Consider the following 26453-nt stretch of genomic DNA (forward strand, 5'->3'; position numbering starts at 1 on the left):
AGAAGACACAGACTCCAGATGTGCCACTTTAAGAGCTGTTAACTACGAGGGTCTGTGGCTTCATTCTTGAAGTCAGTGAGACCAAGAACCCACCAATTCCAGACGCAGTATGGGTTATTCAGAAATTTCTAGAAAAATGGTGGTAACTTTCACGTGGTTGCCATGAAAAGAGGTGGTAACTTCTGTGTGTTGCCATGGCAATGGTAAACTGACATGGAATTGGTTGTCAGGTCTTTCCCCCCCCCCCCCCCCCCCAGCTGGAGTCTTGCTCTGTCTCATAGGCTAGAGTGCAATGGTGCAATCTCAGCTCACTGCAACATCTGTCTCCCAGGTTCAAGTGATTCTCTGGCCTCGGCCTCCTGAGTAGCTGGGATTACAGGTGCCCACCACCACGCCCTACTAATTTTTGTATTTTTAGTAGAGATGGGGTTTCACCATGTTGGCCAGGCTGGTCTCAAACTCTTGACCTCAAGTGGTCCGCCCACCTCTACCTCCCAAAGTGCTACGATTACAGGCGGGAGCCACCATGCCCAGCCAACTGGTGGGCATGTCATGGAGAGGTGTTTTCCCCGCCTCTTCCCTGTTTCAGCCAATCTTCAATCTGGTCCAGAGTAAGATCCTGCCTCCTACCTCAGCACCACTGCATTCCAGCCTGGACAACAGAGTAAGACCCTGTCTCAAAAAGCAAACAAACGGGCTGGCCCGGTGGCTCACACCTGTAATCCCAGCACTTTGGCAGGCCGAGGTGGGCGGATCACTTGAGGTCAGGAGTTCGAGACAAGCCTGGCCAACATGGTAAAACCCCATCTCTACTAAAAATACAAAAAAAAAAAAATTAGCTAGGCATTTTGGCGTGCACCTGTAATCCCAGCTACTTGGGAGGCTGAGGAAGGAGAACTGCTTGAACCTGGGAGGCGGAGGTTGCAGTGAGCCAAGATAGTGCCACTACACTCCAGAACGGGTGACTGAGTGAGACTCTGTCTCAAACAAAAACAAAAAACAATGGTTAAACCCTATTATTGCATTTTTGGGCATTTATGCCAGAGAAATCTAAATAGTTTCATGTTAAATATTGTACGTGAATGTTCACAGAAGGTTTTTTTTTTTTTTTTTGAGAGAGAATCTCGCTCTGTCACCCAGGCTGGAGTGCAGTGGCGCGATCTCGGTTCATGCCATTCTCCTGCCTCAGCCTCCTGCGTAGCTGGGACTACAGGCACCCGCCACCACCATGCCCGGCTAATTTTTTGTATTTTTAGTAGACACGGGTTTTCACCGTGTTAGCCAGGATGGTCTCGATCTCCTAGCCTCGTGATCCGCCCGCCTCGGCCTCTCAAAGTGTTGGGATTACAGGCGTGAGCCACCGCGCCCGGCCAAATGTTCACAGAAGCTTTATTTGCAATGACAAAAACTGGAAGAGGCTGGGCGCGGTGGCTCATGCTTGTAATCCCAGCACTTTGGGAGGCCGAGGCGGGCGGGTCACGAGGTCAGGAAATCCAGACCATTCTGGCTAACACGGTGAAACCCCGTCTCTACTAAAACTATAAAAAATTAGCTGGGCGTGGTGGCGGGCGCCTGTAGTCCCAGCTACTCGGGAGGCTGAGGCAGGAGAATGGCGTGAACCCGGGAGGCGGAGCTTGCAGTGAGCCGAGATCGCGTCACTGCACTCCAGCCTGGGCGACAGACGGAGACTCCGTCTCAAAAAAAAAAAAAGAGAACAAATTACTGATACACGCAACGTGGATGAATCTCCAGGGAATTATGCTGAGTGAAAAACAGCCAATCCCCAAAGGTTATATCCTGTATAATTTCATTTATATAAATTACAGAAATGGAGAACAGATTAGGGCTAGGGACAGGGGAGAGGCTGAGGGACTATGAGAGGAGTGTGGTTGTGTTTATAATGAAACCGACCCAATCATCCCATAGATAGGTTTTTTTTTTTTTTTTGGATAAGCATCGAAATTGACTTTTCTAGTCTTTGTTTTCTAGTCTTTTTTTTTTTTTTTTTTTCTTTTTTTGAGACGGAGTCTCGCTCTGTCGCCCAGGCTGGAGGGCAGAGGCGCGATCTCAGCTCACTGCAAGCTCCGCCTCCCGGGTTCACGCCATTCTCCTGCCTCAGCCTCCCGAGTAGCTGGGATTACAGGCGCCTGCCACCACGCCCGGGTAATTGTTTGTATTTTTAGTAGAGATGGGGTTTCACCGTCTTTGCCAGGGTGGTCTCGATCCCTGACCTCGTGATCCTCCTGCCTCGGCCTCCCAAAGTGCTGGGATTACAGGCGTGAGCCACCGCGCCCGGCCTTTTTTCTAGTCTTAAAGCCACCACGCCCGGCCTTTTTTCTAGTCTTAAAGCTTGAAAAACTTAATTTGTTTTATCTGAGTTCCCTCCTCAGGAAAAGACCTTCAGGCCTCTAAAAAAAAGTATCAAAGAACTGAAACTCACCAGATCACCACATCCAGACAAGGAAATGCCCAGACCCCTCATTCATCATGATTGTTTCCTTGCCCCTCCCTAGTTCCTGTTTTCGTAGGCATTGTTACATTTCTTCCCTGCTACATAAACCCTTACTTTTTGTAGGTCAGGGAGATGGGTTTGAGACTGGGCTCCCATCTCCACTCCTCAGCTGCAGGATTAAAGATTTTTTTCTGGCCAGGTGCAGCGGCTCATGCCTCTAATCCCAACACTTTGGGAGGCTGAGGCAGGCAGATCACCTGAGGTCAGGAGTTCGAGACCAGCCTGACCATCATGGAGAAACCTCGTCTCTACTAAAAATACAAAATTAGCCGGGCATGGTGGAGATGCCTATAATCCCAGCTACTCAGGAGGCTGAGGCAGGAGAATTGCTGGAACCCGGGAGGCAGAAGTTGCGGTGAAGCGAGGTCACGCCACCGCACTCCAGCCTGGGCAACAGAAAGAGACTCACTCTCAAATAAATACATACAGACAGACAGACACCAGCATGACATTACATAGTGTAGCACAGCTTTGCCTAAAGGGAGGGGAAAAAAGGTGCAAACACCAGGCTAATTCAGAGAGGAGACTTCTCTTGCTGGGTGTCTCATTCCCAGCACCCTCATCCAGAAACCTAAATTCAGAATCCCTGCTACCTAGATTTCCCGGACCTACTCTACAACCGCTAGTATTTATTTGGTATCTGGGCTAGGCTCTTGGGATATGAAGGTGAGTGAAAAAACACACCATTCTCTGCCCTCATGGAGCTTATGATCTGTTGACAGGACCGACATTAATCCAAACAAATTATAACTACAAACAGTGATGAGAGTAAGACACGTGGTGCCAGGGAGGCATACAAGTAATAGATTCCCACCCAAACTGAGAGGGCCGGGGGGTGTGGGCAGAGAAGTCCTCCCTGAAGAGGTACAACTGAACTGAGTTCTATGGGATGAGTAGGAGTAAAGCCAGGCAAAGGTTGGTGGGCACACTTCAGGCCATGGGAATAGCACGTGCAAAGGCCCAGCTGCAGGAGGAGGCTACCTACCAAGACACTGAAAGACAGTCTGTGGCTGCAACACAGATCAGGGGAAGCATGGTGGACGACAGGGCTGGAGAGGTAGGAAGGGGTCAGATGAAACGTTACTCCTTTCTGCGATGCATTTTGGTTTTCAGGGCAATTTCCCAGACCAGACTTCATTAGAGCCTTACGCTACCACCATGAGTTAGCAAGAGCAGGCAGTATTGTTCCCAATTTGCACATGAAGAAGTGAATGCTCAGCAAAGTTGTCAGAGGCATTCGAACCAGAATGACTCCATTTTGAGTGAGGACTAGGAAAATGAGGCTGAGACTTGCTGGGCTGCATTCTCAGAAAGTTAGGCATTATTAGCCTCTGCATGTTTACAGTTAAGGGAACAAATTAATCGTGTTTACTGAACAGGCCCAGACTTGGGAGTGTCCAGATAACCTGGTACAAAGGTATTCCTTTTTTTTTTTTTTTTTTGAGACGGAGTCTTACTCTGTTGACCAGGCAGGAGTGCAGTGGCACGATGTCGGCTCACTGCAAACTCTGCCTCCCAGATTCAAGCAATTCCCTGCCCCAGCCTTCCAAGTAGCTGGGATTACAGGCGCCCACCACCACACCCGGCTAATTTTTGTATTTTTAGTAGAGACAGGGTTTCGCCATGTTGGCCAGGCTGGTATTGAACTCCTGACCTCATGATCCACCCACCTCAACCTCCTAAAGTGCTGGGATTACAGGCGTGAGCCACTGTGCCCAGCTGAACAAAGGTATTCCTAATTTTGCTTTAAAGATAATAATATCAATTCCTGCAAAATATAGTAATTAAGAAAATTAATCCTTTATCACAAACCTTGTAGCAGAGCACATCTCCCCATATATACAAGCATTGTACGTAGGTTGGATGCGTTCCTCCTCTTACTTTCGGGAACGTCCTACTGTGTCTATGGAGTGGATGTTCTTTCACCACTTTACTTCCTTAATAAACTTGCTTTGCCTTTGCACTGCGGACTCACCCTGAATTCTTCCTTGCTCGAGATCCAAGAACCCTCTCTTGGGGTCTGGATCGGGACCCCCTTTCCTGTAACATATTTCTGGCGAACACAGAAGGCACTATAGTACAGAAACCCTGACCCAACGGCTACCTTTGGGTAAATGGTGGAGTCCTGTAACAAAGTGACTTGCCAGAGGCCACGCAGCGAGGGAGTCAAACAGCCTATGCTTACTCCTTGCCCTCCAACTCCTGGCCCAGTGCTCTCTGCTCCCACTGCCTATTCCTGATCCTGTTCAGTCTTCCTTATGGTTCAGCTCCCAAATCCCAAAGTGAAGGCATCAGGTCTCACAGTTGGAAAGGACTTTAGGGAAGGACACCTCTTCTAGGATTCTCCCAATTTGCATCTTGCAAAACTGAAGGACCCCAGGGTCTCTGGCTGAGCTCTTCCTGATTTACTCTAAGATACAAGCAAAATCCTTTTAGTTCAGACTTGATTGGTGGGGAAAGGCCTTGGGATGATGTGAGCTGGACCAAGCAATCCCTGCCTATAATTTCATTAGTCCACAGTTCCAGGCTTCTACTTTGAGACACAGAAAATTTCTCTTGTGAACCAGGCCACATCCTCTCACAGGAGGCTTTTACTCACACATTCACACGCCGTGAGAACTTTCTCCTTGTCTCTGTGCCTTCCTGAAACATAAGTATCATTAACTATTTAAAATGGACTTTCATACTACAGATGGTGAGTTGATTTAAGGAAAATACACTTATCTTATTCCTCTTCCTCAAATACTACAGGACAAAGTTTTCTGTTGTTCTAAATTTTTGGCTTCTCTCTGTGAAACTGAATTACCTGCTATAATTTGCACAGAAAATGTAATGCATCCCCCACTGTGGGCCTTGAGCAAGCTGCCACCTTCAAGCACCTTCAAGCCATTCACCAAGGATGGAACCTCTTGCTCAAAGAAGAAAGCCAAAGTGTTTAAGATACTGACCTGTAGCAAGCAAACAGTGAGACATAATCACACTCTTGACTTGAACTAATAGCGTATATATTTTATCACAAATCTTGGAAATGACAGAAGTCTTGGGCTGGGCGCAGTGGCTCATGCCTGTAATCCCAGCACGTGGGGAGGCCGAGGCGCGCGATCACCTGAGGTCAGAAGTTTGAGACCAGCCCGGCCAACATGGTGAAACCCTGTCTCTACTAAAAATACGAAAATTAGCTGGGCGTGGTGGCTGGCGTCTGTAATCCCAGCTACTCAGGAGGCTGAGGCAGAAGAACTGCTTGAACCCAGGAGGCGGAGGTTGCAGTGAGTGGAGATTGCGCCATTGCACTCTAGCCTGCGCGGCAGAGCAAGACTCCATCTCAAAAAAGAAAAAAGAAAAAAAAAAGTCTCAGATAGAGTCCTGGAGGTCTGAGGCTCTATCTGCTTCCTCCTCCATCTTGAGAAAGTGACTGACCCTCTCTGGCACTCTTTTACCCAAAGTAGCCAGGGTGTGTGTGGTTTGTAATTTTTTTTTTTTTTTTTTTTTTTTTGAGACGGAGTCTCACACTGTCGCCCAGGCTGGAGTGTAGTGGCGAGATCTCGGCTCACTGCAAGCTCCGCCTTCTGGGTTCCTGCCATTCTCCTGCCTCAGCCTCCCAAGTAGCTACGACTACAGGCGCCCGCCACCATGCCCGGCTAATTTTTTGTATTTTGTTTAGGGGAGACGGGGTTTCACCGTGTTAGCCAGGATGGTCTAGATCTCCTGACCTCGTGATCCGCCCACTTCGGCCTCCCAAAGTGCTGGGATTACAGGCGTGAGCCACCGCATCCAGTCGTGTGTGTGTAATTCTTATCTGTGTTTTTAAATGTGGATTTCCAGCTTCACTTGGAAGACTGGAAGTTGTTGGAAAGGCGGGTCTTCTCTCTTGGGATGGGCATGTTCTCTCCAGTTTCCAGTCCCTTCTACACCCTATCACATCTCCAACATGAGGTCCAAACCAGTTGTCATTTATCTTTTTACTTACTTCGTCTTTTTATTGAAGTACAAAAACATTTCTTTGTAGCACTTCTCTATCAAGAGGGGAAAAAAATAAGACACACCAAGACAGCTGTAAGTTTCAAGAAAAATAAGAGGCCGGATTCTTTGTAGAAGCTGAAGAATATTCCTCTGCAATTGGTTGGCTTCCTCAGTGGTTCGGCTTCAGGATCCCGCAGAGGTTGGCTAAGGCCCAGTCAGCCAAAGGCGCCAGCACGACTGGGACTGGAAGATCCACTTCCAAGACGGCTCATGCACGGTGCTGCCCAGCTGGTGCTGTAGCTGGCAGGAGGCCTGGATTCCCTGCTGCACTGGGTGACCAGATTTTCCCAGAGCAAGAGTCCAAGAGAGAGAAAAATGAAAGATACAAGGTTTTTTTATGATCTGGCCTCAGGAGTCTTATTTCCACAATATCCTATTGGTTATACAAGTCAGCCCTACTCAACATCAGACTACACAAGGGTGGGACTGGTGAAATAAGATTCACTGGAGGGCTATCTTGAAAGGTGGATACCACATAATTCCATGACGTTTATAAACGACATACCTAAAATATAAGGACATGAAAGTGTTTGAAGCAAAGCTGGAGTAGTTGTTAGTAATATGGGACAAAATAGACTTTGGGGAAATAAAGCATTATTATGGCTAGAGAATGACATTAAATAATGACAAAAAATACAATCTACTAAGATTATTATAAACCTAGTAAAATAAGAAGATATGATTATAAAACTAAAAAATAAGCTTAATAAAATAGGTTTAAAATATATAAATTATAAAAATTAAAAGAACCCAGGGAGAAGTTGCCATATTTGCCATCATAGTGGGAGATGTCAACACACCTCTCTCCGTTACTGTTAGATCAAAGAGACAAAAAATTAGAAAAGACAGAAAATTTGCACAATACAATTAATCAGCTTGATTTATTGGGCATAGATAGAATTCTCTACCCAGCAATTAGGGATGACACATTTGGAACATATATAAAAACTGACCAGGCCGGGCGCGGTGGCTCACGCCTCTAATCCCAGCACTTTGGGAGGCCAAGGCAGGTGGATCACGAGGTCAGGAGATCGAGACCATCCTGGCTAACGCGGTGAAACCCCGTCTCTACTAAAAATACAAAAAAATTAGCCGGGCATGGTGACAGGCGACTGTAGTCCCAGCTACTCAGAAGGCTGAGGCAGGAGAATGGCATGAACCCAGGAGGTGGAGCTTGCAGTGAGCCGAGATCACGCCACTGCACTCCATCCTGGGCGACAGAGTGAGACTGTCTAAAACAAAACAAAACAAAACAAAAATAAACAAAAAAAAACTGCCTAAGTACTAAACCACAAAGCAATTCTCAACAGATTTCAAAGAATCAGTATCAATGTGTTTCCCTGCATAATACATTTAATTAGAAGCAAATAACAAAATATAATTATGTTTTATTCCCATATGGCTAGAAACTTCTAAATATATTTCCAATTCATGGTCAAAGAAGAAATCATCATGAAAAATGTAAAATTCAGTCTATTCTGCTATAATGCATATAAAATGCAGAATATTATCAGTTTAATATGAAAGTCATATTAGTTCCTATTATGAACTAATACATAGGTGCAAACTTTCTGATAATTGAAGAAACCTTTAAAAACATTTTTTTTTTGAGACGGAGTTTCGCTCTGTCGCCCAGGCTGGAGTGCAGTGGCGTGATCTTGGCTCACTGCAAGCTCCGCCTCCCGGGTTCACACCATTCTCCTGCCTCAGCCTCCCGAGTAGCTGGGACTACAGGCGCTCGCCACCACGCCCGGCTAATTTTTTGTATTTTTAGTAGAGATGGGGTTTCACCGTGTTAGCCAGGATGATCTTGATATCCTGACCTCATGATCCACCCACCTCAGCCTCCTAAAGTGCTGGGATTACAGACGTGAGCCACCACGCCTGGTAAATACATTTTTAAAAGCCAAAAATTTTTCACAGTTGATCTTCTTTCATGCATATAATGGCTGGTGTAGGGCCTTGAGAACTGCTAGACTTCCTACTATGTGAAGGTATCTACAGAAGCTTCAAATATAGGTCAAGAAGCAATGAAGGTATTTCTGTTTTACCCTGATGTATTAAAAAATCAAGAAATCTAGTTACTAGATCATGTTTTTAGTTTTGTTTGTTTGTTTGAGATGGAGTCTCGTCCCGTGGCCCAGGCTGGAGCGATATGGTGCAATCTCAGCTCACTACAATCTCCACCTCCCAGGTTCAAGGAATTCTCCTGCCTCAGCCTCCCAAGTAGCTGGGATTACAGGTGCCCGCCACCATGTCCAGCTAATTTTTTTTCTTTAGTAAAGATGGGGTTTCACCATGTTGGCCATGCTGGTCTCGAACTCCTGACCTCGTGATCTGCCCTCCTCAGCAATCCAAAGTGCTGGGATTACAGGCGTGAGCCACCCCGCCCTGCCTATGTTTTTAGTTTTAATGAAATTAATCACTATTAGAAACAAATGCCCTCAAAGACCTATTTCTCAAAGCTGGAATCGTAAATCTCAGGACTCAAAACTACAAAGAATTGACTGACGATGGTGCTGATGAAGGGATACTGGTCAAAACTTAATCACATGGCCATATCTACCTATGAGGGAGGCTGGGAAATATAATCTTCAGTTTTGTATCCAGCTAAAAACTGGGGTTTTGTTGTTAAAAGTTAGAAGGCCAGAATAACCATTAGAGAACCATCAGTGGACTCTGCCACAAAGAAAATTAGCTTTAATTCAGATGATGTCTCCAATACAATTTTGACTCCAAAACCAGACATGAGCAGTATAAGAAAAAGAAAATCCCTGGCAAAACTTACTCATGAACATAGGTGCAAAAGTCCTAAACAAAATACTCGCAAGTGAATCCAACCGTTTTATTAAAAAAGAGAGTGCGTTATGACCAAGTTTTATTTATTCCAGAAATTTAGGGTGGTTTTCACATTTAAAATTGTATCATAATCATATACTACATTAACAAATTAAGGGGTAAAAATATAGGCATCTCCATAGCTGCAGAAAAAGCATTTGCCAGATTTACTTATTCATCATAAAAACTCTTAGTAAACTAGGAATTAAAAAAAAAAATTAACCTAATTAACAAAACGTGTGACTCATCATTCTAATAAGGAAATGTAAGAAATAGAAGATCAGTTCCCTTAAAAATAAAAAAAAAGACAAAGATGCCAACTCTTGCCACTTCCATTCAAGCTACATTGGAAATTCTGGGCAATGAAACAAGAGAAGAAAAATAAATGAAAATCATAAAGATCAGAACTAGGGCCGGGCGCGGTGGCTCATGCCTATAATCCCAGCACTTTGGGAGGCTGAGGCGGGCGGATCATGAGGGCAGGAGATCAAGACCATCCTGGCTAACACGGTGAAACCCTGTCTCTACTAAAAATACAAAAAAAATTAGCTGGGCGTGGTGGCAGGCGCCTGTAGCCCCAGCTACTCAGGAGGCTGAGGCAGGAGAATGCTGTGAACCCAGGAGGCAGAGCTTGCAGTGAGCCGAGATCACACCACTGCACTCCAGAGACTCCGTCTCAAAAAAAAAAAAAAGACCAGAACTAAACAACTCTCATTAATGACATACAATATCATTGTCCCAAAAGAATCTACACATAAAATATTGGAAATCAGTAGACATTTTGGCAACATCAGATATAAGATGAATATTTGAAAATCCACTACATTTCTATATACCAGCAACAGAAATATAATTGTAAAAAATTGTAAAAAAAACTCATGTAACACACAACAAAACTATAAGTTACATAATAACAGATCTAAAAAAAAAGATGCTCAGGATACATAAGAAAAAATACAATATTTATTAGAAGGCATTAATTAAAACCTAACTAATATGAGAGTTATACCATGGATATTTAGACTCAATATCACAACAATGTCAGCACTGTCCAAACTGAGATATAGACTCAATACAATGCCAATCAAAATTACAAGTTGATTCTGATATATGCAACAGGCCAAAATGCAATGGGCCAGAAATAGTCAATTTACTCTTCAAGGAAAACAGTGAGATGGCAGGACTTACCCAACATCAGGACTTCTTATAAATCCATAGCATTTTAGACTGAATAATATTAGTGCAGGTTTAGACAACTTGATCAATGAATTAGGTTAAAAGCCAAAAAGCAGACCCACAGATATATAGAAATTTTTTAGATAACAGAGATCAATTGTAGGTCAATTGGAAAAAGTTGGGCTGTTCAATAAACGATGATTATTCTAGCATATACTCTTACATATACTGCTGGTGGGATTGGAAATTGGCAAAACAATCTGTGAACTTGAGCATTTACATGCCCTAGAATTCATCGATTGCACTTCTCTAGAAGAAACGCTGGTGCATGGGAACTGCTGCATACAGAGATTTATGCAAGAATACTCACAGCATTACCGTTTATCACAACCAAAAAAAAACTATATACAATATGACACCATTTTTACAAAGCTCAAAAACAAGCAAAAGTAAACAAGTAAAGTTTGTAGATACAAACATATGTGATGAAGCTTTTTTTTTTTTTTTTTTTTGAGACAGAGTTTCACTCTTGTCGCCCAGGCTAGAATACAATGGCGTGATCTTGGCTCACTGCAAACTCCGCCTCCCGGGTTCAGGTGATTCTCCTGCCTCAGCCTCCTCAGTAGCTGGGATTACAGGCGCATGCCACCACACCCAGCTAATTTTGTATTTTTAGTAGAGATGGGGTTTCACCATGTTGGTCAGGCTGGTCTCAAACTCCTGACCTCAGGTGATCCACCCGCCTCAGCCTCCCAAAGCGCTGGGATCACGCCCGGCCGATGAAGCTACTTTTTTAAAGCAAGGAAATAACAAACACCAAAACTCAGGGTAATAGCTATCTCTTCAAGGGAGACAGGCATACAGAACAGGAAAGAACACATAGGCACATACAACCCTGTTGATAATGTTCTAATTCTTAGATGGGGTAGTGGGTTCACAGATGTTCATTTTGTTAGCATGTCTCATAATACATACTTTGCATTTGTTATTTTATATATAAAATTGCTAAAGAAGAAAAAACTCCCTCAAAGAAAACAGCCCCCACTTAGCAACAGTTAGGAACAGTAAGTCCTCAGTTATAGAGGGTGAAAGACAGCTTCTTCAGCAGCCAATTTCCAGCTGAATTTGACTTGAGCTGCTAGATTCGGTCAGAAGCCTGGGTGGGCAAGATGTGAAGGAGAATCAAGCCAAAAGGTGGAAGCTCACTCTGTACCCTGGGAAGTAGAGAAGGGCAGAGGCTTGCCCAGTGCCACACAGCTCACTGATGGAGAGTCAGGGTTCGCGGACTGACCAGTGACGTACAAGGAGCCAGAAGGGAAGACGTGAGGGGTGGCGGGTAGCACCGAGGCCGGCCAGGCCAGGCACAGGACTGCAGCCGTCTCTGGCATGCGGCCCAATGCTGATCACAATCAGATTCCCACCAGAGCGGAAGAACAGGACCCCGCCAGCACCTCCCAGATCCAGATCCAGGCTCAGACAGGAACCAAGCAGAACTGCTATCATCTTTGCGGATCAGGGTTCCTGAAGATTAAGGAACCAGATGTTAGGGCTAGAGAAAAAAAGGGTGGGGGCCGGGTGCTGTGGCTCATGCCTGTAATTCCCACACTTTGGGAGGCTGAGGCGGGCGGATCACTAGGTCAAGAGATCGAGACCATCCTGGCCAACCTGGTGAAACTCCGTCTCTACTAAAAATACAAAAATTAGCTGGGCGTGGTGGGCGCACGCCTGTAATGCCAGCTACTCGGGAGGCTGAGGCAGGAGAATCGCTTGAACCTGGGAGGCGGAGGTTGCAGTGAACCTAGATCGCACCACTGCACTCCAGCCTGGTGACAAGAGCGAGATTCCGTCTCAAAAAAAAAAAAAAAAAAAGGGTGGGGGGAAAAATTTCCCTTTAGGGTGGTTGTGAAGAAAAGGGTACCAGGTTCACCCTGTAGAAATACTGCCCTTGGGGCTCTCTTTTTATCCTATCCTACATCCACCAGCCCTTAGCCTAAGGCTGCCTGCTGCGGTTTGAGGACAGGACAGACACCTTCCCACTTATCCATCAATTTCTCTAATGTCATCGGTAGCACCCAGTGTCTAGTTTAGGTTTTTCTACCCTCCCTTCTCCGATGTTCTTATGGCACTACAGATGCTGGGAACAGTTCTGTATCTATATGTCGTGCCTCATTTTATGATTATTTGCCTCATTTCATGATTATTGCATTCCCTTTGGAGGGCTGTCAGCGTGTGAAAGTCAGGCCCATGTCTAACTTCTTTTTTTTTTTTTTTTTTTGAGACGGAGTTTCGCTCATCACCCAGCTGCAGTGCAGTGGCTCGATCTCGGCTCACTGCAACCTCCGCCTCCCGGGTTCAAGCGATTCTCCTGCCTCAGCATCCCGAGTAGCTGGGATTACAGGCGCCCACCACCACGCCTGGCTAATTTTTTTGCATTTTTAGTAGAGACTAGAGTTTCGCCATGTTGGCAAGGCTGGTCTTGAACTCCTGACCTCAGGTGATCCACCCGCCTCAGCCTCCGGAAGTGCTGAGATTACAAGCCTGAGCCACCACGCCCAGCCCGTCTAACTTCTTTTTATTCCCTAGCAGCTTATTCAGAATATTATGCATAAAATATCTCAATATTGATAAAATGTAAACTGTTTAAATCTGGGGAAGAAGGAAAACGCTGTAAAACTATTATTGCCAGCCACTAACCCTTTGGTATAAATTAGCTTTCAGAAGTTTTTTTGAGGTATATTTTGTTAAGGAAATTCAAAGACAGTTCAAGGAAACTTTCTTTTTAATTATAAAGTTTCTTGAAGCAAAAGGGGAAAACAATATGTGTTTGTTCAGAGAAGGTTTTTTGAGCGGGGAGGAGACAGGGTCTCACTGTCACCCAGGCTGGAGTGTAGTGGCAGTATCACGGTTCACGGCAGCCTAGACCTCCTCAGACTCAAGCGATCCTCCCCCCTAAGCCTCCCAAGCAGCTGCGACTACAGGCACAAGCCACCTCACCCAACTATTTTTTTGTATTTTTTGTAGAGACAGGGTTTTGATATGTCACACAGGCTGGTCTCAAACTCCTTGTCTCAATTGATCCACCCATCTCAACCTCCCAAAGTGCTGGGATTACAAGCATGAGCTACTGTGCCCAGCAAGAGATGATTTTTTTTTATCATGATTTACTCATGTCCTAAAATACTACAGAGACATTAAAAATAACGCGATCTCTACAGACTGACATGGAAGGATATCAGACATGTTACTAAGTTGAAAACAAAACAAAACCTTGCAAAACATTTACAGCGTGATCTTATTTTTGTTAAAAACAAAATTTTTAAAAATACACACATCTGTGTTGTGGAAAAGTTCTGAAAAGATATCAATGAAATAATAAACAGTTATTTCCCCTAGGGCATGCTTTTTAAATGTATAATGTATATGGATTACCTGAGGGTATTGTTAAAAATGTTAAAATTCAGATCCTGATTCAGTAGAGCTGGTGGGGCCTAAGAATCTGCATTTCCAACAAGCTCACAGGCAGTGATCCTGGCTTGCAGAGCCAGTTTTTACATTTTCAGGAATTTTGTGGCTCTGTTGTTAAATACATTCATTATTAAATACTAAAGTATATATAATCATCGTAAAACAAGTTACATTTAAGACAGAGATAACGACTCAAAACTCATACTTCCTAATTATTTTATATTTTACTATTATCTATACCCTTGAGGTTATACATACCAATGTCTGTATCTGTGTGATGGAAATGACACATAATGGTGTGTTACTGTGAAGTCTTCCCAGTTTTCCATTGAGTAACATCACATGGGTGGCATGGAATCTGACACGCTGGAAATAGTTACACCACAGAAATTGGCAGACACTACAGATCATGGCTTTTCTTCCAAAGAGTCACTTGTTAAACATTGATCAACACACCACTGCTCCCAGGCACACAGCACCAGCCTAGGACACGAAATTGATGTGGGGAAAGATATTTGGTGTTTTTTCCCTTTTATTTTTTGTTGACGATAATTGTCCATTTTTTATGGGATTCAAAGTGGTATTCTGATACATGCATATGATGTATATTGATCAAATCAGGGTAATTAGCATATCTAACATCTTGAACACCGATCACTTCTTTGTGCTGGGAACACTTAAAATCCTACCTTGCAGCTTTTTGAAACTATACTTGAAACTATTGTTAACTACTTTCACCCTACAGTGGTACAGGACACTAATGCTTATTCCCCTCAGCTTAGCCAGCTGTAACTTTGTATCCATTAACCAGCCTCTCCCCAATGTGGGGAAAGGTTCTATGAGTGAGAGGAGGAATGGGTGCTGACCAGGAAGGCTATGAACATTAAAGATGAATTTTTCTACACCAAGATTGTCTGTATTCCTAGCTCGTTGGTAGCATGGAGTACTTAACAAGTATTTGCCAACTAAGAGAATGAATCAATGCTGGCTGTGAAGAGAACCAAGTAAAGTTTCCGTTGGAAAGCACAGGAAGCCCACTTCACTCCCACAGGAGCTGGGGATGAGAAAGAGTGGGGGTGGGTATCTGCTCCTAGGGGGCCCTGGCAGGGGAAGCCCAGGACTGGCCCTCTTGCTGACTGGCACCTCAACATTTCCTGTACGGTTTTAGTTGCTGCACCTGAGAGGCAGTATGTACTTAACTCCTCCCCTGGAGGTCAGCAAGAGAGGCCCACGGCTGCCCAAACTACTGGCCAAATAAACAAACAGCCAGGCCAGGAAGCAGACAGCGGGGCCCCAGTAGACTCTGGGACTGCAGCAGCAGCCACAAAGTCTGGAAAAGGCTGAGCCAGAACCCACACCCCGATCCCTTTTCTCCCCCCCAGCCCCTCCCCTGCCACCAGAACCTTCTGTCTAATGCTATCTCTCCCTCTATCCCCTGCCTTACTCCTCTGACCCCTCTGGGCAAAGTTCCATGATTAATGGAACCATCCATTCCTCAGCTCCTGCCCTTTCCCTTGCCACCAATCCGAACTCTCCAGAACTGAGGTCAGAGCAATGGCCTGGCTGGCCCGGCGGCCATCTGAGCAGACCCAGGCCAAGCACTCCCTCCCCGTCACTCTCCGAGTATCAGGTCCAGCCATCCCTCCTCTGAACGCCATGCAGGGGCAGCTTGGCTTCTGGGCTCTGCACAGCAGCACATCCAGCACACGCCACTCAGCGTCCTATAAGCGTCTACTGAGCCCCGGCTGTGTGCTTGCTGGCATTGCTGTCGAAAGTGGAGGTACAGATTGCCAGACAAGACACACAAAGAGCTTACACTTAATGGAGGGAAAAAGCCAAAAAACAAGAAAGCAAATATAAATCAGATGGTGATAAGGGCTAGCAAGAGAATAAAGTAATGTAAGGGGGACAGCAAGTGACAAGAGTGGGTGGTATTTATGCAGAATAGCCCCGGAGGGCCTCTGCGACAGGTGCCACTTGAGAAGAGACCTGATATTGAGAGGTGACAGCGTGCTGGCAGTCCTCACAGCCCTTGCTCGCTCTCGGCGCCTCCTCTGCCTGGGCTCCCACTTTGGCGGCACTTGAGGCCTTCAGCCCACCGCTGCACTGTGGGAGCCCCTTTCTGGGCCGGCGAAGGCCGGAGCCGGCTCCTTCAGCTTGCAGGGAGGTGTGGAGGGAGTGGCGCGAGCGGGAACCGGGGCTGCGCGCAGAGCTTGCGGGCCAGCTGGAGTTCAGGGTGGGCGTGGGCTTGGCGGGCCCTGCACTCGGAGCAGCCGGCCAGCCCTGCCGGCCCCGGGCAACGAGGGGCTTACACCTGGGCCTGCAGCTGCGGAGGGTGTACTGGGTCCCTAAGCAGTGCCGGCCCACCGGCGCTGCGCTCGATTTCTCGCCGGGTCTTAGCTGCCTCCCCGCGGGGCAGGGCTCAGGACCTGCAGCCCGCCATGCCTGAGACCCCCCTCTTCCGTGGGCTCCTGTGCGGCCGGACCCTCCCCGACGAGCACCGCCCGCTGCTCCACTGGCACCTAGTCCCATCGACCACCCAAGGGCTGAGGAGTGCGGGCACACAGCGCGGGACTGGCAGGCAGCTCCACCTGCAGCCCAGGTGCGGGATCCACTGGGTGAAACCAGCTGGGCTCCTGACTCTGGTGGGACCTTGGAGAACCTTTATGTCTAGCTCAGGATTGTAAATACACCAATCGGCACTCTGTATCTAGCTCAAGGTTTGTAAACACACCAATCAGCACCCTGTGTCTAGCTCAGGGTTTGTGAATGCACCAATGGACACTCTGTATCTAGCTGCTCTGGTGGGGCCTTGGAGAACCTTGTGTGGACACTCTGTATCTAGCTAATCTGGTGGGGAGGAGGAGAACCTTTGGGTCTAGCTCAGGGATTGTAAACGCACCAATCAGCACCCCGTCAAAACAGGCCACTCGGCTCTACCAATCAGCAGGATGTGGGTGGGGGCAGATAAGAGAATAAAAGCAGGCTGCCCGAGCCAGCAGTGGCAACCCGCTGGAGTTGGCTTCCCCAATGTGGAAGTTTTGTTCTTTCTCTCTTTGGGTGCACGCTGCTTTTATGAGCTGTAACGCTCACTGCGAAGATCTGCAGCTTCCCTCCTAAGCCCACAGAGACCATGAGCCCACCAGGAGGAATGAACAACTCCAGACACGCCGCTTTAAGAGCTTGTAACACTCACCACGAAGGTCTGTAGCTTCAGTCCTGAGCCAGTGAGACCACGAACCCACCAGAAGGAAGAAACTCCGAACACATCTTAACATCAGAAGGAACAAACTCCAGACACGCCGCCTTTAAGAACTGTAGCACTCACCGCGAGGGTCCGCGGCTTCATTCTTAGTCAGTGAGACCAAGAACCCACCAATTCCAGACACAGTGTGACAGACAAGCCATGGAGAATCTAGACAAAGAGGGCTGCACGCCAGCACCGTGAGGCAGGAACACGCCTGCTGTGCTCTAGGCACACCCAAGTGAAATGCTGAGGGGCAAGGTGGGAGCATCAGTTAGGGCCCTGGGGGCCACGAAAAGAATTTGGAGTGTCCTCTGAGAGAGATGGGGACCACTGGAAAATTGCGCAGAAAAGTGACATGGTCTGATTTACGTTCTAAGGAAATCGTTCTGGGTGCTCTGTTGGGAACAGACTGCGTTAGCGGGGGTGGGGATGAGGGTGGAAGCATGGAGAGTCATTAGGGGGCTAAAGCAAAGTTTAGGCCAAAGATGATGGGGGCTTAGAGCAGGAGAGGAGGGATGGAAAGGGGTGATCCGGTCATATTTTGAAATAGCTCTGGCAGGATCTGCTGACGAAGTCTACATGGGGTGGGAGAGAGAGAAGGGTGGAGGATGGCCCAGGTTTTGGACCTGAGAGGCCTGAGTCTGTATCATAACCAGCCTGCAAGGCAAAAATGGGTCTCGTTCTTCCTCACCATATCCTCAGGAATGTGGAGTGGGTGCCGGGCCAGGACGATGATCAGGGAGAGAGGAGGGGAGCAAGGACAAAAAGACGACATGGGGGAACCGGTAGGGGAAGAAGGAATATCTACACTGTGAACATTCCTAAAGTCCTGCCTCCCCCACGAAGTCTGTGGGACTAATCTGACGAGTGATGACTTCCTGACCCTTCTCAAGGGAATTCTTGCACCCACCTCCCCTCCACACTTCCCAGCTTCAACTCCCATCCTTGAACAAAAGCAGCACGTTAGTAACCTGCTGGTTGAGAAGTAACATAGGTCACTGTGGGATTCACTATCACATGGTCAGGCTATGAACTTGACTGCTGCAACAGCCCCAAACACCCGGGAGGAAATGAGCTAGGATGCATTTCTCCCTCATGGAATTCTCTGAACGTAAGTAGTCCAGGGCTGCTCAGCAGCTCCACAGGGCAGAGAGCCAGCCCCAGCTGTTCCACCCTGGGAGGCTGGCCTCATCTCATGGGCTCAGACAGCCCATCACCACATCTGCCCTCTGGACGGCCAGAAGGAGGAAGCTGGGTCAGGGGCGTGCGGGGATGGAGCTGCGGGTCCGGGGAATGAAGGAGGGAGGCCCCTGCCGCTTAAGGACATGCCCAGAGGTTGCCTCCGCCCCTTCTACTCACATCCTATTGGCCAGAACTTGTCCCTGTGGCTACCCTGGGTGTAAAGGAGCCTGGGAAATAGAGATTTTATTCTGGGGAGTCATGTCTTCAACTAAATCAATGACTATGGTAGAAGGAAAGGCGAATTTGGGGCCAGTCATGGTGGCTAACACCTGTAATCCCAGCAGTTTGGGAAGCTAAGGAGAGAGGATCACTGGAGTCCAGGATCTCAAAACCAGCCTGGGCAACATAGTAAGACCCCGTCACTACAAAAAATAAAAAATAAATAGCTGGGTGTGGTAGCATGTGCCCATAGTCCCAGCTACTAGAGAGGCTGAGGTGAGAGGATCACTTTGAGCCTGGAAGGTCAAGGCTACAGTGAGCCGAGATCACACTACTGCATTGCAGCCTGAATGACAGAGTGAGAACCTGTCCAGAAAAAAAAAAAAATTAGGGAGACTGCTAGCTGCTCTGGCACAGGGATGTCCAACGCAGTTGCATTTGACCTTAGTGTTAGGTTCCTACTCCCTGTGTGAGCCTCTCAGGATGGAGCCCAGCTTAATTTTATGCCTAGTGTTCCATTATTGGAACGCTAAGCATGCGGGAGTTATTTATATCCCACTGCTCTATGTCATTGCCAAGGTCTGATTTTTCACACGTCTGCAATTCAAAAAAATTGCAACATCCGGCATAAATGGGTTAATCCCCTTCATTTTACGCACAGACTTTTCCAGCATATAAAGCATTGTCACCCACATAATTGTACTTGGTCTTCACAATATGCCATGAGGTAGGTAGTTTAATTCAATTTTACCCATAAGAAAAGCAGGGTTTAGCAAGGTGAGGCGATTAGCACAGGGCCACAGGCTGATGAATGCTGGGATTTGAACTCAGACCTTCTCTCCAGAATATTTGCTCTCACCCCTCACTAGCAGGGAGTAATGGGGTTATTGTGAATGTGAGGGTGAGTGGATTTCTACCACTTATACCACCACCACCAGAAGCTTTCAGGAAAGACAGCAGCTAAAGATAGGTGTGACTTGATAGAGCACAATCCCATCACTCTCACAGACACAGAAAAATCTGCTCCAACCCTGCAAATCAGCGTGATATGGAGGGAAAGGCACAGGGCAGAGCAGCCAGGACCAGGCCTGGGACCAGGCCTGACTCAGCCAACATCCCCCCGTACAGACAGCCTCCATGTCCAAAACTGCATCTGTGATGATCAGCTTGTGTCTGTGCCACACCAATGTTTAATTTTTTTTTTTTTTTTTTGAGACAGAGTCTCCCTCTGTCGCCCGGGCTGGAGTGCAGTGGTGCTATCTCAGCTTCCTGCAAACTCCGCCTCCCAGGTTCACGCCATTCTCCTGCCTCAGCCTCCTGAGTAGCTGGGACTACAGGCGCCCACCGCCATGCCCAGCTAATTTTTTATATTTTTAGTAGAGACGGGGTTTCACCGTGTTAGCCAGGATGGTCTCAATCTCCTGCCCTCGTGATCCTCCCGCTTCAGCCTCCCAAAGTGCTGAGATTACAGGCATGAGCCACTGTGCCCGGCCTGTTTAATATTTTTAATATCATCCCTGGTGAATCTGTTCCTGGTGGGTCCCATAGTGTCCTGTTGTGTTGAGAAAGCTCTCTGAGCTTCAGTTCCACATGTACAAAAAAGAAGAAGCAAACCTTCCCCTCCCAGCCACCCCCAGCTCGAAGCACACCAGCACAACCAAAAGAGGTGACATCAAAGGTCCTCCTGAGCCCTTGGCATCATCCACCTCAACAGCCTCCCTGCCATACCCACAGCTCATCCATCCCAATTTCCAGTCCTGTAGCTGCAGCTCCCCACTGCAGGCCTGCAGACCACTCCTGGAGTAGGAGGAGTAGGAGTAGGCTGCAGCCCACTCCTAAGTGCACAGCAGCTTGGGAGAGCGGGCAGAAATTGCAGGGCCTTAGAATATCCAAGTGGAAGGAACTTCAGAGACTGTCTAATCCCACGGCCATGGGGCCCCCGAGTGGCAGAGCCTTGATGAATGTGCATGACACAGAGGGGGCTGCCCTCAGGCTTTCTGCGTGTTGCCCTGTCTAATTCAGGAGTAGCTAGGGGACCCTCGAGGCCCCACTGCCTGGCGTTGATCCCAGCTCTGCCATCCATATGGCCTCAGACAAATTAGGCAGCTTCTCTGTGCCTCAGTGCCTCAGTAAAATCTAGACAATAATGACAGCGGAGCACCCACCCAGTATGGTGGTTGTGGTGAATAGATGAGTTAATACGGCCGGGTATGGTGGCTCATGCCTGTAATCCCAGCACTTTGGTAGGCCGAGACGGGAGGACTGCTTGAGTCCAGTTCGAGATCAGCCTGTGCAACATATCAAGACTCTGTTTCCACCCAAAATAATAATAATAATTAATTAATTAAAAATAAAATTTTCTTTGGGAGGCTGAGGCGGGCAGATCACGAGGTCAGGAGATCAAGACCATCCTGGCTAACACAGTGAAACCCTGTCTCTACTAAAATATAAAAAATTAGCCGGGCATGGTGGCATGCGCCTGTAGGCCCAGCTACTCTGGAGGCTGAGGCAGGAGAATCGCTTGAACCTGAGAGACGGAGGTTGCAAAGAGCTGAGATCGTGCCACTGCACTCAAGCGTGGGTGACATAGTGAGACTCTGTCTCAAAGTAAATAAATAGGCCGGGCATGGGCTCACGCCTGTAATCCCAGCACTTTGAGAGGCCGAGGCGGGTGGATCACGAGGTCTGGAGTTCGAGACCATCCTGGCCAACATGGTGAAACCCCGTCTCTACTAAAAATACAAAAAATGAGCCAAGTGTGGTGGCAGGCGCCTGTAGTCCCAGCTACTCAGAAGGCTGAGGCAGGAGAATCGCTTGAACCCGGGAGGCAGAGGTTGCAGTAAGCCCAGATCGCACCACTGCACTCCAGCCTAGCAACAGAGCGAGACTCTGTCTCAAAACAATAAAAAATAAAAATAAGTAAATAAAATTTTCAAAAGATGAGTTAATACAGTAAATTCTTGTCTTCTTTTCTTCTTCTTCTTCTTCTTCTTTTTTTTTTTTTTTTTTTTTTGGAGACGGACTTTTGCTCTTGTTGCCCAGGCTGGAGGGCAGTGGTGCAATCTCGGCTCACTGCGACCTCCCGAGTAGCTGGGATTACAGGTGCCCACCACCACACCCAGCTAATTTTTTGTATTTTTAGTAGAGACAGGGTTTCACCATGTTGGCCAGGCTGGTCTGAAACTCCTGACCTCAAGTGATCTGCTTACCTTGGCCTCCCAAAGTGCTGGGATTACAGGTGTGAGCTACTGTGCCTGGCCAATACAGTCAATTCTCATTATTCATAGTGGCTGTGTTTTATGGAGTCACTGCAAACACTGAATTAGTGAATGCCAAACCAGTGCTCCTAGGGGAGATACAAGGGGAGGTTCCTGTGAGCCTCTGGTCACATTTTCATCAACAAATCAATGCATAACTTTTTCTTATGTGTGTTTCTGTCTAACGACACCTTATTCAATATATATTGCTGAATAATTCACATTGAACTCATAGCCAACAGCACTATAACTCATGCCTGCACGAAGCTTAACTACTAGACATATTTTCTCCACATGACACATCACAGCTTTCTCTCACTTAGGAACTCTGGACAGCACTTCAGCATGATGCTGGGACCATTTTAAACAGTGGAATCACCAACACGCAGCAGAAAAATGCAAAACACATGGTACCAAGTAGACCTTGAAAAGGACACTTGCTTGTGGTATGAGCTGAAACAAGAAGGCAGACTGTCACCTTGTTCACCCTCTGCTGGGAATGTGCACATCCTGCCAAATTTTTCTCTGCTCTGTGTTCATGGATGGCCATGCAAGCACTGTGAGTATTGATTTTGGCAATACAAGTAAATTGTATGGAGTAGACAAATTTTTATTTTTTTATTTTTATTTTTTTGAGATGGAGTCTTGCTCAGTTGCCCAGGCTGGAGTGCAGCGGTGCTATCTCGGCTCACTGCAAGCTCCACCTCCCATGTTCACACCATTCTCCTGCCTCAGCCTCCCGAGTAGCTGGGACTACAGGCGCCCGCCAACACGCCCGGCTAATTTTTTTTGTATTTTTAGTAGAGACGGGGTTTCACCATGTTAGCCAGGGTAGTCTTGATCTCCTGACCTCGTGATCCACCCACCTCGGCCTCCCAAAGTTCTGGGATTACAGGCATGAGCCACCACACCCGGCCAGAGTAGACAAATCTTTAAATACAGAATGTATGAGTGATGAGGATCAACTGAATATAGAAAGCCCCTAGAATAGTGCCTGCCCAGTAGGAAGCATTCGATAAATCGTGTTACTTTGTAAGCTTTACAGCAATCTGCTGAGATATTGCTATTTCCATTTTACAGATGAGGAAAGTGAGTGTCCAAGAGGTTAAAGACCTGGACCTGGTTCCCATGGTTGGTCAGTGGTGGTGTTGGGACTTGATCCCAGTTTCAGACCTGGTTTAACTATTTTGTGCATTGCCTAGAACACGGGCCCCTTCCATGCTCCCTCTCCACAGGAACACAGGCATGGGTTGTATGTGATACACACGCACAGGCAGGCCCCACACACAAGCAGAATTCCTGTGTTTACTCCTTTCACAAACCTCCTTAACTCTGAGGAGCCTTAGAAACAGAGAGGTGGCCGAGCGTGGTGGCTCACGCCTGTAATCCCAGCACTTTGGGAGGCCGAGGCAGGTGGATCACGAGGTCAGGAAATCAAGACCATCCCAGCTAACACAGTGAAACCCTGTCTCTACTAAAAAATACAAAAAATTGGCCAGGCGTGGTGGCGGGTGCCTGTAGTCCCAGCTACTTGGGAGGCTGAGGCAGGAGAATGGCATGAACTCGGGAGGCGGAGCTTGAAGTGAGCTGAGATCGTGCCACTGCACTCCAGCCTGGGCAATAGAGCGAGACTCCGTCTCAAAAAAAAAAACAAAACAAAGAAAGAAAGAAACAGAGGTTTCCCAGCTTCCTGCCCAGGCCACGGAACTCCTCCCTCCGGCTGCAGAGCTCCCACCTCTTCTCCCCCATTTCTGCCTCAGCATCTCCCACCCCACGCTGGCCACTGAGGCAGCCTGGCCAAAAGGAGCTGATAGCAGGTCCTCTCAGCTTCCTCTGCAGCTCAGCCAGGGGCCACAGCTGGGCCTGTCCAGCCTCACTTGACCAAGAACCGAAGTCCCAGGAGAAAGGAAAGTGAGGCCAGGATGGTGACAGGGTGGAGAAGCTGGGCCCCCAGTGAGCCCCCACAGAGGGTAGGACACAGAGGGACAAGTGTGAGGGGCAGTAACTGCCCGTAGGAATAGTGGCCATGGGAGAGACACCGTGGTGCCCACACCCCAGTAGGTCCTCAGTAAAACTAACATCCACCTGGGCCGCACAGGTAGCCCTGCCACCCTCCAGGGCCCAGGATTCTTTGAGTGAGTTTTAGAACGCCTCTGAAATCTGGGGAGATATGACAGCCCACAGCAATTTGCATTTTTTGCTTTCCTGTTATCAGAGGTGACTAAACTCTGGCCTTCAGGCCAAATCCAGCCAGCAGACTCCTATGTGCAGCTCACTAGCTAAGAATGGTTTTTACATTTTTAAAGTGTTGAGTAACAGGAGAAAATCTGGGGTGAGAGGAAGAGAGATCATATGCCCCACAAAGCCTAGAATATTTACCTGATGAAGAAAATGTTGCCAGCCCCTGACCCAGATGGATTTAGCAGTGGAAGCCCTGGCCAACCAAGTGTGAGTCAGGGTGGCCCGAACACCAGCCCACATCCACCCATCCCCAGTGTAGACATCAGGCATGTTATTCAGCCTCTATAAGGCTCACTTTTCCCTTCTGCAAAGTGGAGGCAATAACAAGAGCTGTGTCCCAGGGCTGTGAGATTACATTAGGTGTCGTCTATGTCAAGCCTTTAGCCCTTGGCATCCTGGGCTACTGTGTGGGCAGAACATGGGTGCCGGTGACGGCAGTGGTGGCGGTGGAGAGGCGGAGAGGAGGGAAAGGGTCCCTTCCTGACCAGCTGCTGTCTCCATATCTCAGAGAAATGGGGAAACTGAATCATGGGGGTGACTCATCTGAGGTCACCAGCTATAAATAGTCCAAAGACTCATGACAGACTGCAAGCAGGTCCTAGAGTCCTTCCGTCCACAGCCCCTATCTGTGTCTACCTCGCCCACATACACCCTTTCCTAGACTTCTGTCTTGGGCCCCATTCTCACGGGACATTGCTCACCGCGGCCGACTGATTGAACGCCTCTGTTGTCTTTTTTTGCGGGGTGGGGGGGGAGATGGAGTTTCACTCTTGTTGCCCAGGCTGGAGTGCAATGGTGCAATCTTGGCTCACTGTAACCTCCGCCTCCCGGATTCAAGCAATTCTCCTGCCTCAGCCTCCCAAGTAGCTGGAATTACAGGCATGCGCCACTACGCCCGGCTAATTTTTTGTATTTAGTAGAGATGGGGTTTCACCATGTTGGTCAGGCTGGTCTCAAACTCGTGATCTCAGGTGATCCACCCGCCTCGGCCTCCCAAAGTGCTGGGATTACAGGCGTGAGTCACCACGTCCAGCTGCCTCTGTTGTCTTAGATGCCAACAGCTAAAGTTATTTCATATCCCAGGGGCATTTCATTTCAACAGGTACATTCTAAACCCCCAAATATTCACAGATATTCACCTCTAATTGCTTGTCAGTCACAATGACAGGACCAAAGCATCCCTTGATTTTCCCAGGTTCCTCCCAACACTGGAACCAACGTCTGGGGTCAGCTCTCCGAATTCTCACAGTCTCAGATGTTTGGCTCACACTCTGGAGTAGACGGGCAGATGCAAGCACATGGCTTGGCTGGGGAGTTCAGTGTAGCTGTGTTGCAGCTTCTCAGGCCTCCGTTCTCCCGCTTGCCAGCCTGCTTGATAGGGGTAAGGTCCCTCAGAGGGGACATGAGGCCCCTTTGATCCCAGAATAACAAGAGAAAGTCTGGGGGGAGAGGAGGAGGTACTGAGATTCTTGGTACCTATACTTTATGAAATGAAGAAACATCTAAACAGGGTTGCAGAACTTGTGGTCTATTTGATCCTCGTTAGTATAGTGGTGATCATCAAAAAAAAAAAAAAAAGAGCTTGTGATCTATTTGAAATAGCTACATGGCAAAGTTAACGCTTTTAATCCCAAAGCATAATGCAATCTAATGATGCTAACCCACAAAAGCAATTTCAGGATGTATTTGCAAACATTACTTTATCCTGAACTCTTAGGCAAAGTCATGCAGCAGTGAGATGAATGGGAGTTTCATGTTGAACAGTGCATATTGTTTTCCGTTCTGTCGGGGCGTCTCTGTGTCTGATGCAGCATTGCTTTTCAGGGAGATGAAGTCCCTGAAAATGAGACCCAGGTCCCGAGGTGAAGCTCCTTCTCTGGGGTGCTCCGCAGGGATTCCTAGACGGCTGTCCCCCGCTGCTGAGCCACGCTGAGCTGGCTGCTCTCACTGGAATCCTGGAACTGGCTCTTCTCTCACATGGGCACTCCAAGGGCCACCAGCATCTCCTCCTACACAGGTGCAATTTTTTTCTTCTTTTTTCTTTTTCCGTTCCAGGACACTTGTCACCGCCCTGCCCTGTCCTTTCTCCTCTCTTCCTCCCTCTTAGGAGAGTTGCCAGAGTTGCCAGTTTCTTCTTCTTCTTCTTCTTTTTTTTTTTTTTTTTTTTTTTGAGATGGAGTCTCACTGTCACCCAGGCTGGAGGGCAGTGGTGCAATCTCGGCTGACTGCAACCTCCGCCCCCCAGGTTCAAGCAATTCTCCCTCCTCAACCTCCTGAGTAGCTGGGATTTCAGGCA

General features: G+C 47.6%; 1 long non-coding RNA gene across 2 annotated transcripts, besides 4 other annotated features; it reads right to left on the reverse strand.

Annotated features, from left to right (window-relative positions):
* Window positions 1-6462: 6462 nt before the first annotated feature.
* Window positions 6463-26322, reverse strand: LOC124902866 (uncharacterized). 2 transcript variants are annotated; one of them, XR_007063189.1, is made up of 2 exons: window positions 24859-26322; window positions 6463-6796 (listed from the first exon to the last, which is right to left on the reverse strand). It is a non-coding gene; the product is annotated as an uncharacterized LOC124902866 (long non-coding RNA). The 2 variants fall into 2 exon arrangements; XR_007063190.1 differs by lacking the exon at window positions 6463-6796 and adding an exon at window positions 10312-12067 and having other exon boundaries at window positions 24859-25126.
* Window positions 15728-16301: an enhancer, noted in NCBI's record as "H3K27ac-H3K4me1 hESC enhancer chr12:6268183-6268756 (GRCh37/hg19 assembly coordinates)". NCBI's record gives its function as "activates a minimal SCP1, AML or CMV promoter by ChIP-STARR-seq in naive H9 embryonic stem cells {active_cell/tissue: H9 hESC(naive)}" and the evidence as "EXISTENCE:reporter gene assay evidence [ECO:0000049][PMID:30033119]".
* Window positions 24522-24801: an enhancer, noted in NCBI's record as "active region_5841". NCBI's record gives its function as "activates an Ori minimal core promoter by ATAC-STARR-seq in GM12878 lymphoblastoid cells {active_cell/tissue: GM12878}" and the evidence as "EXISTENCE:reporter gene assay evidence [ECO:0000049][PMID:35858748]".
* Window positions 24522-24828: a biological region, named in NCBI's record as "Sharpr-MPRA regulatory region 14257".
* Window positions 24534-24828: an enhancer, noted in NCBI's record as "tiled region #14257; HepG2 Activating DNase unmatched - State 20:ReprD, and K562 Activating DNase unmatched - State 5:Enh". NCBI's record gives its function as "activates a minimal TATA promoter and a strong SV40 promoter by Sharpr-MPRA in HepG2 and K562 cells {active_cell/tissue: HepG2 | K562}" and the evidence as "EXISTENCE:reporter gene assay evidence [ECO:0000049][PMID:27701403]".
* Window positions 26323-26453: the final 131 nt, after the last annotated feature.

The sequence above is a fragment of the Homo sapiens genome, chromosome 12 (assembly GCF_000001405.40).
Source record: "Homo sapiens chromosome 12, GRCh38.p14 Primary Assembly".
NCBI classification, from domain to species: domain Eukaryota; kingdom Metazoa; phylum Chordata; class Mammalia; order Primates; family Hominidae; genus Homo; species Homo sapiens.